Below are 13,017 nucleotides of genomic sequence, written 5' to 3'. Positions count from 1 at the left end.
GGCAGCAGGGGGACCCCACGGTTCCCATGTCCTTTCTCCATGGCAGTGTCCATGCTCAGTCTAGGTCTCCACCTGGCCTGGGGGCACGCAATATCATCCCAAAGTTTGTATTTGATCCAGTTAGTTCTGAGGGCCAATTAGTCATCCAGAGGCTTGTAACCCTGTTATCCCAGAGACCAGGCTGACAGTGTTTTTATAAAGTGCCATCAGGACAAAGGGTGGTTGAACTCCAGGCCAGGGCCTAGCTGTGTCACCCCAGCCCCGCCCTGGGGAAGTCTTGACCAGGACCCCAGCATCAGGGACAGATGATGCTTATATAATCACAGGACTCTTGGGGAAAACGGGCAAGGCCCTAGGTGCAGACTGGTTCTTCTGCAGGGGAAAAAGCCTCTGCCCTTTTCCCTGGGAACTGAGCATGACATTCCCATGGCTGTGACCTGCTGGCCTGGATGAATGAGGCTCTGTGCTACCAAGCGTGTGGGAGGAAGGAAGAGGGCGTGCCTGCAGCTGCCTGGTGGCCTCTGGCAGCACCAGGCGTGTCCTTCACCTTGACCAGGGACCATTTCCAAGCCGGGTGGCTTTGTTCAGTTGTCAATGTGCTATGCCCATCAGAATCAAGATGTGGCACGTGACCTGCAGCCAGGGAACAGGCACCCGTATAAGAAGGCCAGGGCAGGGCGGGCATGACAGTTTCCCTCGCACCTTCAATTCCCTTCTTGGGTCTTGGCTCTTCTTTCTAATGTCTTCACAAGTTTTCAGGTAGTTCCTGCACAAGATGTGCGTCACCCGTCAAAAAAGCACCATTTATCCCTCAGCTGCCCCTCCAGCCCCTTTTCTGTCTCTCTGCCCTCCTTCAGGGCAAAACTTCTCCAATTTCTCCACGAATGGGCTACACCTCCTCACCTGTGATGTACCTCACAACCCACCCATCTCTGGCTTCCCCACCTCCCTGGAAGATGCTCTTCCCAGGGCTATCCAGGGCCTCAGAGCCACCAGATCCAGTAGCGATTTCCTGTGCTCATCTGACCCCTCAGCAGCAGGTGACAGAGCTGGTGGCCTCTTCTCCAGGCCCTCTCCTCTCCTGTCGCCCAGGCAACCTCACCCTCCTGTGCTCTCTCAGCTCAGCCTCCTCCACCTCAGAGCCGAGCACTGAGCACCGTTGTGCCTGGACTCAGTCTCCTGCGCATCTCCTCTCCATCTCCCTGTCTTCCTGCAAGGCTTCAGGTCTGTGGTCTGTGCGTGCCCCACCGTGGCTCCCACCTCTGTGGCTCCGGGCCGACTTCGGCAATCTCCAAGCTCATGCATGCACTCACCTGCTGGCTGGATGCCTCTCAGGCTCCCTCTCTCCAAGGTACAGTTCAAAATATGGCATGTGACTTCCTGTCACTCCCTGCACCTGGCTTCCCCAGCTCTGCTGATGCCCCTGAAATTCCCCCAGTTGTTCATGCCAGAAACCCAGGAAGGCACATGAGTTCTCTCTGCCTCTCACCTGCAGCCAATTCATCAGCATTTCTGCTTCTGAGACTTGTGTCCCATCTGAGCAGCTCTCTGCATCTGCATGGCTCCCACCTGGACTGCACCCCATCTCTGCAAGCATCCAAAGTGATCTTTTCATAGGTCGCATCTGGTCATGGTTCTCTCCTGCCCCCAAACCCTCTAGTGGCTTCCCTTGATGCACAGAATCAAACCCAAAGCCCTGACCACTGTCCTTAAAGCACACAGGATCAGGCCGAGCCTTCCTCCTGCAACAAGTCCAGCAAGCCTGGCTGCTTTTCCATCCCTCCCAAAGGGCCTTCCCTGATACCGTTCCTTCTGCTGGGAATAGTCTTCCCAGCTTTCTTCACCGGCTGCTGCTTCTCATCCTTGCTCTCTCAGCTTAAATACCCACTTCTGGGCTTCCCAGGCCCAGCACAGGAGCCTCCCGCCCCAAATACCTGCTGTCTCTCCACTAGGGTGCAAAACTCCAGGGCAGGGGCAGTGTCTGTTTCCCTCATGAATGTATCCCCAGGGTCTAGCCCAGTGTCTGCGACATAATAAATGCTCTATCGTGAGTGAATGTACGACTCATTCTTTACAAAGCACAATTTCACTTTCCTCTTTCTCTCCTCACTCCCTGGCCCCCTCACATCTTCCAGGTGACCCTCCCTTCCCTCCCATTCCCTCCCCCTCCCCTCCTGTTGGGTGGCTCCTGCCATTCTGTCCCCTGCCACTCTGCCCTCATTCTGCTCAGTTCACTTACATTCCTCTGTCCCCTCCTTTATTCCCTTCAGATGTCACCTTAGACCTTTATCATTTCTCATTCTGAACCAACCAGCAGCCATCCAATTCCCTTCTTCCTCCCTCCATTCCACACGGATGCTGGAGTGACTGCTTTAAGATGCAAATAGGGGCTGGGCGCAGTGACTAGTGCCTGTAATCCCAGCATTTTGGGAGGCTGAGGTGGGAGGATCGCTTGAGCCCGGGAGTTTGAAACCAGCCTGGAAACTGTCTCTACAAAAATAAAAATAAAAAATTAGCCAGGTGTGTTGGTGCACACCGGTAATCCCAGCTACTCAGGAATCTGAGGCAGGAGGATCACTTGAGTCCAAAAGGTGAAGGCTGCAGTAAGCCGTGATCATGTCACTGCTCTGCAGCCTGGGTGACAGAGAGAGACCCTGTCTCAAAAAAAAAAAAAAAAGCAAATATGATCGTGTGGCCTCTGCTTAAAGTCCTTCTATGGCTCCCTATTGCTCCCCAGAAGTGTTCCTAAGGCCCTTCGTGGTCTCTGCCAACCCCCTACTCCTCCCTCTCCTTGCCCACGAATGCTACAACCATCTGCTGCTCCCCAGTGTGCTACACTCTCCTCTGCGCCCCCGCCCTGGAAACTCCAAACCCCATAGAACCCAACAGTGCTCACATTTCCTAGTTTCACTTCTAAGCAGCACCTGCATCAATTTCTGGGACATGCAGCCCTCTAGTGGCTAAAACAAGTAACAGTCTTTACTGTGTTCCTGCTGGGCCCTTTCTATTCAACATTATCGATGACTTGGATGGGACACAAGTAACACATTGATCAAATGCCTGAGTGACCCTGGTCTCTGAGAGCGACGCCTAATTAGTGTCTGAAACAAAATTAGCAAGCGGTAGGACAAGCTGCAGTGTTGGGTGCAATCTGACCATGCCTAGATTTAATAAGGATAAATGTGAAGTCCCACACTAAGGTCTGCAAACAAAACTCCAGCTCTGCAGGTAGAAGCATGGGTGCCCAGACAGGGGGTTCTGGTGACCCTAATGCCCTGTTGGGCCGCATCGCTTCTCGCCTGGACTCCTGCAACACCTCTCTGGCGGGAACCCTGGCCACTCTCCCCTACGCCAGTCTTTCCTCACGTGCTGGTGATCATTGCTGTGAATCAGGCCCCCGGGGGAGCGGTCTAGGGGCGTGCACACACAGCTGCACCTGGGAAGAGACGCAGGCTGGGAACAGTCGTCAGCACTTTGGTGGTCCTCGAGGTCCTGGGAAAGGATGGGGGCCCTGGAGAGGAAGCAAAGAGGTGAGAGGGCCCAGGAAGAGCCATGGGAGGAGAGGAGAGAGATAAGAAACACAAGAACAGGTCGAGGCCGACAAGAGGTAAGCGTTATGAAGCCAAAAAAGGAGAGGTTCAGGACGAGTTGATGCTGCACACTGAAGGCCCAGGGCCCAAGCAGGGTTAGGCCACTAGGAGTTGGGGAGCACCTTCCCATGGGGAGGGGGAGCAGAAAGGCAGCAGTGGTTTGTGGAATAAACAGGAGGAGGATGTTGAGAAAGCTAGCACAGGCTTCCAAGTAATGAAGGGAAAGGAACCCCGTGGGGAAAGGGAAGCTTTTTGAAAGTTGGAGAAATGTATTGCTTAGCAACTGCAGCATAACCAGCCCCCTGAAACGCAATAACTTAAATAAAACCAATGTTTTCTTCCTAAGTCTGTGGGGTGGCTGGGAGTCACCTAATCTCGGCTGGGCTAGCTGGGGTGGCTCTGCTCCGGATGTTTGGTGATGGCAGAAACGCAAAGTGGAAACACACAGGCTTCTTGAGCCTAATGTCGAAACTCACACGAGGACATTTCCATCTTATTCTATTGAAAACAAAGTCCCCCAACAAGTTCCACCTGCTGATGGAACTGGCAAAACATGTGAAAGGGAAGGGTGAAAAATTGGGGCCACTGATGCCTTCCACCACAGGAGACATGCGGAGTTGTAATGGGAAGAATGAAGACATCAGAGGGAGAGGCTGGACAAAACGAATTGCATATTGTGCCGGGCGCGGTGGCTCACGCCTGTAATTCCAGCACTCTGGGAGGCCGAGGTGGGCACACTGCTTGAGTTCAGGAGTTTGAGACCAACCTGGGCAACATGGCAAAACTCCATCTCTACAAAAAATACAAAAATTAGCAAGGTGTGGTGGTGTGCCCCTATAGTCCCAGCTACTCGGGAGGCTGAGTTGAGAGGATCACCTGAGCCCAAGAAGTCGAGGCTACAGTGAGTCGGGATCACACCACTGCACTCCAGCCTGGGCAATAGGAGTGACATTCTGTCTCAAAAAGAAAAGAAAAAAAAATGAAGTGCATATTGGGAAAATTATGAAAGGCATTGAATTTGGAGCAGATTCATGTTCTGGCTCTGCCAATCGTTAGCAGTGTAGCCTTGGGTAAGTCGTTTAACCTGAGACTCCATTTCATTATCCGTACAGTGGAAATGCTAATCCCTGCTTCACAGTGTGAACATTTAATGAGGTGAAGTAAAAAATGCTTCACTGTAAAATGCAAACCTAGCTACAATGACACAGTAAGTTTCCAGGAGAGGTGGGAGGCTGTCACAGGACAGCAGGAACACAATGGCTACTTTCAAGTACTCCAGGGCATTCCTGTAGGGGAGGAGACACAAAGAGGCCTGTGTTATAGACAAGGTCTGAGGGGGTGATGGGGGAGGAGTTTACTCCATAAAAATAACATGTTAATAATGAGGACAGGCCAATGTGGCTTCAGGAGGTGGTGACTTCTTCATCGCTGGGGATGCTGGAGCAGAGCCCGGCTGATCTGTCCCTTTAGGGGAGTGTTGAAGAGGAGATGCAACCGCTGACCAGTGGTTGGATCGATCAGCTGTGCTCAAGCAAGGGCAGCCCACTATCCCAACATGTGGGGGGCCTTCTGTTGTTGTAGAAATTTCTGAGTGATTGAAATGGCATTTGGTGGATGTGTGCCAGGGCTGCTAAACCTCTGGCAGTGGTCATGCCAGTCGTAATCAATGGCAATGCCAGTGGTGCTCTGTGCATAAACACTGGACTATGTGAATTCAGAGCTCCAATCTTGAGAGTCCAAATAAACGCAAGATTTATTTTCAGCAAGTGTAACCAGCAAGCCCCCACTTTTTTGCCAACGCCTCACTGTGATAATGGAAAAAGTATTTGACTTCAGAAAAGTCTTAGCTATGATTAAACAAGCAAAGTCACAACAGCAAAACAGTGTAATCCATTTAAAAATTAAGGCTATATGCAGAGGGTATTAAAGTCACAAATACACATGACCATTATGTAAATGGCTATGATAAGACTGTCAGAAGCATAAATCATTGATTATTCTCCCAGATATATAACAAGAGCCAACTACTCTGCTTGGAGACATCACAAATAAACAGTACACATTTAATGAACTTGTTTGCTTGCTACTTAGGACCAAAAAAGGGGTCTCTGGAGATCTCTGTTTTCTTCAAAAACACTGGCCAGGCAGTTTGAACAAATACCTTCCTTTTTTACATCAGCATTCACATTTTCTTGATTTGGGGGCTTGGATCATACTAGGAGATTCAGTAAATATTTGCTGTTGTTGCTGCTGCTGTTGTTTTTCTCACTGATGCATTTTTACAAGAAATGCATGTGGCCCTTTTCTCATTGAGGCATTTTTACAAGAAATGGATGTCACCCTGTCCTCCCTCTCACCTTATGCAGAACCTGTGTCATCAAAAGGCAGGGGGAGTGGCTGGCTGCAGAAGGGCTAGAAAGCGGTTCACCCTTCCTGCAGGTGTCTTCTTAAAAGGAATTCTCAGAATTGCCTGCAGGGTCCCTGATGGCATCTGATTCTGGCCCATCCCCAGGGAACAGGGAGGCGGGAAGCACCAAGGTTTATCACTTTGGCATCAACCTCAGCCAAGAAAGGTGAAACCTCCCTGGCCCATATTCATCTTAAAATGTGAGCCTTCCATTCATCAATGAGGGGATGGTCTGGGCATTATTAGACTAGCTATCATGGTGGCTTTCCCTAGCATGTTGAAGATGAATCTTTAAACTTTCAGGAATACCCACGTTTGTGCAGCAAAACAGTTACCCAGAACCTCTCAGACTTGCCAACTAAAATCTGGGTTTGTGGATTTGGACAACTGCAACTTCTTAGGAAACATCATGAGGGCTTCAATTTGAAGGTTCTCAGAACCGTGTGTAGTGACTGTTAGCATTGCCGTAAGTGTGAGGGAGGTGAAAAGTTCCATGAGGAGTAATGGTCTTGGGGACAGAACTCTGCTCAGGGGCCAGGACATGGGGCTCGATTCCCAGTGGCATTCCCTTCAGTGATCTGCTCTGTCCCTGCAGTGAACGTTACTTTTGTGTTCCCCTGTGAACTATACCTCCTGGCTTCATGTCCTGTGCAGGCCCCTCCACATGGACTCTGGGTGTGGCCACGAAACTGGCCTTGGCCAGTGATCCATGAGCCAGCATGATGCAAGGGGGACACACTGGGCCCATCCTTGTGGAGCATTCACTTTCAGAGCCCTTGCCACCTCATAGAGGTCTGGCCACCCTGCTGGAGAGCCCTGGCCAGCTGCCAGCTGTTTCAGCCATCCAAGCTGAGGCACCAGAAACCTGAAAGAAGCCCCTTGGATGGTCCAGCCTCACTGTCCCTGTGCCGGCTGGGCCCCCCTCTCAACTGACCCACCAGTGGCACACAACCGTCCATGACCCCAGCCAGTGCCACAGGGAGTAGAGCTGTTCTGCTGAATCTTGCCCAAATTCCTGGCTCACAGAATCATGCAAAATAAAATAGTGGCATGGGCCACTAAGTTTTAGGGGGTAGTCTGTCATGCAGCAATAGATAGCTATGGAGTGAATGGATAACTGTTGCCCTCTGTGGAATTTGTGCTTTTTCTGCAAAATAAAACACTTTCCACCAATACCGCAACCAGCATAGAAGTTCTTCATCAGATTACACTAAAGCGTGTTCAGCTCAGCAGAAACTGTGTCCTTTCACAAGGCCACCTCCGCATCAGAGAACCAGGAATGGTAAAATTCCTGGTCAACAGAAACACTCATATCTGAGAGTAAAGTACTATATGCAGTTTTTTTTCTATTTGAAACAGTGTCTCACTCTGTCACCCAGGCTGGAGTGCAGTGGTGCAAGCATAGCTCACTGCAGCCTTGAACTCCTAGGCTCAAGTGATTCTCCCGCTTCAGCCTCTCTAGCAGCTTGGGACTACAGGTGTGCACCACCACAACTGGCTAATTTTTTAGTTTCTTTTTGGAGAGACAGGGTCTTGCTATGTTTCCCAGGCTGGTCTTGAACTCCTGGCTTCAAGTGGTCCTCCTGCCTTGGCCTCTCAAACACTATAAAATCTTAATTACATCAATAGAAGGAATTTCTGGTTACTAAAAATAATACATTTAATGCTTGGTACAGTTTCTCTAAATTCCCCTGCTCTTTATTAAAGCTTATCACATCTATACTTATTTACATACATTTTTTTCCACCCTGACAAGTCACAGAATCTTGAGGTTAAGGGTCATGGTCCAATTTTTTTTTTTTTTTTATATAGTCTTGCTCTTTTGCCCAGGCTGAAGTGCAGTGACACGATATTGGCTCACTGCAACCTCCGCCTCCTGGATTCAAGTGATTCTCATGCCTCAGCCTGCTGAGTAGCTGGGATTACAGGCCCACGCCACCATGCCTGGCTAGTTTCTTTCTTTCTTTTTTTTTTTTTTTGTATTTTTAGTAGAGACAGGGTTTTACCATGTTGGCCAGGCTGGTCTCAAACCCCTGACCTCATGATCCACCTGCCTCAGCCTCCCAAAGTGCTGGGATTACTGGTGTGCGCCACCGTGCCCAGCCCTATTTGCATGTTTAATATGATTGTTCTTCCAGAGGTTTCCAAAAGATTCCCTGCTTAAGCGTGTAGGATATCTTTTAAAAAACCCAAACCAGTAGAACTTTCTGGGTCCACTAAGTGCAGCCCATGGTGCCATTATAATAGTACCAGATCTCTGTGAAGTGGAAGAACTGAAAAAACATGTCCCTGTATTTGTTGGGAGGCCAGTTCTTTTCTGTGTACCTTTCATTCATTTTCATGAATACTGATGTATGTCCATCTCCCCAACTAGACGATAAGCTCCACGAGGGCAGGGTTTGTGTCTGGTTTTCCTCACCACTGTAACTGCACTCCTCACAGTGCCTGGCTCATGGTAAGCTAAGCCCTGGCAAATATTTGTTAATGAATTGTACCATGTTCAAAAATAAACAACCTGGAGAACCTCTGCTGGTTATCATCATGGGTGAAACAAAGTTGGTCAGGAGTTACGATCTGCCACACAGAAGCCTCCCGGCTCACGAGCTTCCATTTCTTGCAACTCAACAGCATCATACACCACAGTATTTCAGACTTCTCGCTTAGCTCTTGTTTTTGTTTTTTTCTAACATTGTGAATGTGCGCACACACTACACAAGGTACTTCAAGCTGTTCAAGCCACCCCCAGCCCCTCATGCACATTAGGCAGAGCCAGGCTGTTTCCATTCACTCCACAGGAAGTGAACTCCCCCCAGCCTCCTCCCTCCACCTTTTGTCCTTGGGATACATCCCCGGCCCGGGCCTCTCTGGGTACGGGTGTCAGCACTGGGATGAACTGTGGTTTCTTTCTCGTTCATCCTGGCCTGGACCCCAATTTCTGAGAATCATGGGGTGGTGGGAAGTATTCCAGGAAAGTTCTGGCTCATGTCCTTCTGGAAAGACATGTGCTTTCCCTAACAAATCACTCTGTGCTACACTCACCAAAGGAGCTCCTGTCCCAAGATGGGCTCACTTCTTTCTTTCTCCTTCCCAAGTGTTACGTGGGTTTAGATATAGACATTCAGGGGCGATAAGCTCATTTATGTATCATAGTGTCACTAAAGATAGAGTTCATGTTTATAGAGTGTTGGTACCATTCATTGACCCAGAAATAAAGCTAACTTGGCCAGGCGCGGTGGCTCATGCCTGTAATCACAGCACTTTGGGAGGCAGAGGCAGGAGGATTGCTTGAGGCCAGGAGTTCAAGACCAGCCTGGGCAACATAGCAAGACCCCTGTCTCTACAAAAAATAAATAAAAAATAAACTAGCCAGGCGTGGTGGCACGTGCCTGTAGTCCCAGCTACTTGGGAGGCTGAGGTGGGGAGGACCGCTTGAGCACAGAAAACAGTCAAGGCTGCAGTGAGCTATGAAGGCACCACTGCACTCCAGCCTGGGCAACAGAGTGAGACCCTGTCTTGAAAAAGGAAAGAAAAAGCTTCAGCAGCAATACAATGAAAATACACACACCTGCGTATGTTCTGCATGACTGGGATGAAGGAAGCCAGGCAAATGCTTACACTTAGCTCCCCTCACAGTAGCATATTCTGTGGCCACTTAGGCAGTAAACAAATGGCAGAGCTATTTTTTTTTTTTTTTTTTTTTTTTACAAATTATGAACTTACCATCATCCTCCCATTCTTTGAAATTTAGAAAGACATTGTATTTTTTGTTTAAGTGTAAGTTCTGATTTCTCAGGCTAAGGGATGAAGACTGGGAATTTATAGATCTGGGTCAAAAGTGCCCCACAGAGCTTCTCCAAACCCAGGCGGGCTCCTGGGGTGGCTCAGCAGTCTGTCTCCATCACTTTTTCCCAGAAATTTGTCTCATTCCCACTGTTTACCTGGCAAACCCCTGGATCCCCTCAGGCCCCACCTCATCACCTCTGCCTCTACAGGGTCCTTTCCATGACTCCCCAGAGTGCTGGTAAATCCTCGTGTGCCCCCACTGTTCCTACAGTTACATCCACAATGGCAGTTCTCAGCCTTAAAGGTCACCAGAATCACCCGCAAGGTCGTGAAACCCCAGCTTGCTGGGCCCACCCTGAGAGGTTCTAATTCAGTAAGCCTAGGGAGCACCCTAAGAATATGCACTTCTAACAAATAGTCTGCTGGTCCAGAGACATTTTTTTCTTTTCTTTTCTTTTAGACTAAGTCTCGCTCTGTTGTCCAGGCTGGAGTGCAGTGGCATGATCTCAGCTCACTGCAACCTCTGCCTCCTGGGTTCATGTGATTCTCCTGCTTCAGTCTCCCAAATAGCTGGGATTACAGGCATGCAATACCATGTCTAGCTTTTTTTTTTTTTTTTTTTTTTTGTATTTTTAGTAGAGACGGGGTTTTACCATGTTGACCAGGCTGGTCTTGAACTCCTGACCTCAAGTGATCTACCCCACTCAGCCTCCCAAAGTGCTGGGATTACAGGTGTGAGCCACGGCACCTGGCCTGAGAATCATTTTTCTTAATTACTTGATTCCATGCTTGTATCTTCCACTTGACTGTGAGTGTCTTAAGATCAGGAGGCATTTCTCACACATCTCATCCCCGCAGTCTAGCAGTGTTTAGCAGTCATTCAATCAATAAACAAATATTTATGGAATGCCTACTGTGTGCCAGGTACTGTTCTAGACACTGGGGTTCAGCAGTTAAAAAGTACACACACACACACACACACACCTCCCTGCCCTCATAGACTTCACCTTCTGAGGCTACACAGTAAACCATCAATGATTATTTATTGAAATCTGACCAGTTGTACAGAAGAAAAAAAATGGCATTATCATGCCTCTCTTAATAGTACTGTGGAAATGCCTATTTTTCCCTTTCTAATCACAGTTTTTCCCACTTGTATGCTTCTTCCTCTGATATCCCATCCCAACACCCAACAGGCAAATCCACAGACCTGGCAATATGCCAGGATTTTGGGTCTTACAAAATATTTACTGATTGATTTATAAAATGTTTGGTGTACATGACATGTTAGTTAGAAACAACAAATCCAAGAGCTGAAGCATGAGAGTTAATACAATAAAGCAATTTGGGAGGTAAGCAATCTCAGTGTTTTTATACTGATAAGAATATCTTAATTCACGGTTTTCAAACTAGCCTTAGTTACCTCTAAGTGTACATCACCTCCTCTCCTGTCCTATCCCATGCCCTCCATCTGTGTAGTGTTTATGGCAGTTCTTGGCTGCCTTGTATGATGACTCTGAACTCCCCATGGTCCTACACAGGCTGCAGTCACAGCCCTGGCATGGAGCCAATGTTTGGATGGTCGTGCGTGTAATTCTGAGAAACTGGTAGGAAGCCCAGTGAGGCCGTGTGATGTGGCGGAAAGGCAGGGAACAAAAGCAGAGGCAAACCTGACCACCGCAGATCCAGGAAGACATTTCTCATGAAGCACCCCAGGCCACCCCTCTCTAACCTAGGAGAGAACAGAAAATGTACCTTCATTTTTGGAATAATTTTCTGAATGTTTCTCAGCAAATAAAAATGTGAGAAATCACAGACAGCAATCTGGAATAGCTGAAATGACCATACTTTCAAGACTTTCAGTATTTATTCTTGAGGTTGGCAAATGTTTTTAAAAGGCTCTTCCTTTTGAAGATCAAAGCCATGAGACAACCTATGTTAATTATACAGAAGGGAAGACTATATGGGGGAGCAGCATTTATTAATGGAATTCTAGGAAAGCTAGTTTCAATATTCCAGACTCAAATATTTCTTCTCTGTTAACATCATAACCAAATTTGAGGTTCACTGTTAGTGATTTCAAGAGTCAGTGATATCAAGCAGCGACACTGTCTCAGAATAACACTCTCTTCCTATTGCTACCCAAAGTCTGTGATAAACAGGACCACAGAATTAACATTTACAAAATATACTTTAAAAATGGAGACAAAGTCCACTAACTTTATTTTTATGAGTCAATTCTAATTAAGTAAATTCTGATTACTAGAAAGCTTTGGGTATAAATGTGATCTTTTGGTTTGCTATACACTGACTCTTAAAAGATGACACTTATTTCCCTGGAGCAGTTTACTAACTGTCACTCTTGTAATTCAAAAGAATTAATATTTCTCAAAAGGTGTGTGATTCCCTGCAGAGGCATGACCTCTTGTGAAGCAGACCCTTTCAAATTGGCTAATATAAAGTCAAGATAAATAGAAATCAGTCCCTGTTGGTGATTACATTGGTTGAAGTTATTGCTCCCTCATTTCGTGTAATAAAATAACACACTACTACATTATGGAAAACCCACACATAAATCTAAAAGACAAATATTCTTATTAACACCATTTGTATCCTAGAAATAAATTAGCTTCCTTAAAAAATCTTTTCAATTATTCACAAAATCCATCCTTATTTTCTGAATGAACAAGGCTGAATTTTAGAAGTGCAATGAAAAGTTCTTGAGGTTCCCCTGCAGTGTAGACAGGCCTTCTTAGTGGATTCCGAGGCGCAGCTTCTTGTCCTGGTGCTGCTCTTCCTTCTGTGGGACAGGTCTCAACACACCATCTAGCATTGAGAATAACGCTAGGTCAGGACAGCTTCATTTCAAACCCATGGGCACTTGTTTCAGCCTTACATGTTGTAAGAGCAAAACAATGCTTAAGTTAAAGGAACTTTCACTTTATTTTATCTTCAAATTCTCAATTGTAGAGAATCCAATCTAGATAACTTACTCTCAGGCAATACAGAATCTGGCTTTTAAAAACTGGATTCACATTGGCCGGGTGCAATGGCTCACGTCTGTAATTTTAACACTTTTGGAGGCTGAGGAGGGAGGATAACTTGATCCCAAGAGTTCAAGACCAGCTTGGGCAGCATAGGGAGACCCCATCTCTACAAAAAAAATTTTTTTTTTTTAAACAGGTGTTGTGGCGCACACCTGTAATCCCAGCTACTCAGGAGCCTGAGGTGGGAGGA

The 13,017-nt window shown here is 47.5% G+C and overlaps 1 protein-coding gene across 9 annotated transcripts in view, besides 2 other annotated features; it reads right to left on the bottom strand.

The window, feature by feature from the left end:
* Positions 323-617: a silencer, noted in NCBI's record as "tiled region #6847; HepG2 Repressive DNase unmatched - State 8:EnhW". NCBI's record gives its function as "represses a minimal TATA promoter and a strong SV40 promoter by Sharpr-MPRA in HepG2 cells {active_cell/tissue: HepG2}" and the evidence as "EXISTENCE:reporter gene assay evidence [ECO:0000049][PMID:27701403]".
* Positions 2,863-3,157: a silencer, noted in NCBI's record as "tiled region #13963; HepG2 Repressive non-DNase unmatched - State 1:Tss". NCBI's record gives its function as "represses a minimal TATA promoter and a strong SV40 promoter by Sharpr-MPRA in HepG2 cells {active_cell/tissue: HepG2}" and the evidence as "EXISTENCE:reporter gene assay evidence [ECO:0000049][PMID:27701403]".
* The window catches only part of CDADC1 (cytidine and dCMP deaminase domain containing 1), a 45,561-nt gene continuing 43,348 nt past the window's right edge, over positions 10,805-13,017 (bottom strand). For 8 of the 9 annotated variants that reach the window (NR_036439.2, NM_030911.4, XM_011535251.2 and 5 more), the window contains one exon: positions 10,805-12,606. Coding sequence is in view for 8 of the 9 variants with exons in the window: in NM_030911.4 (NP_112173.1) it covers positions 12,533-12,606 (74 nt within the window). In the remaining variant the exon portion in view is untranslated. The remainder of the gene's footprint in view (positions 12,607-13,017) is intronic. The other variant, NM_001193478.2, reaches the window with a different exon arrangement.

The sequence above is a fragment of the Homo sapiens genome, chromosome 13, assembly GCF_000001405.40.
Source record: "Homo sapiens chromosome 13, GRCh38.p14 Primary Assembly".
Classification (NCBI taxonomy): domain Eukaryota; kingdom Metazoa; phylum Chordata; class Mammalia; order Primates; family Hominidae; genus Homo; species Homo sapiens.
This window is presented reverse-complemented; position numbering and strand designations above follow the sequence as displayed.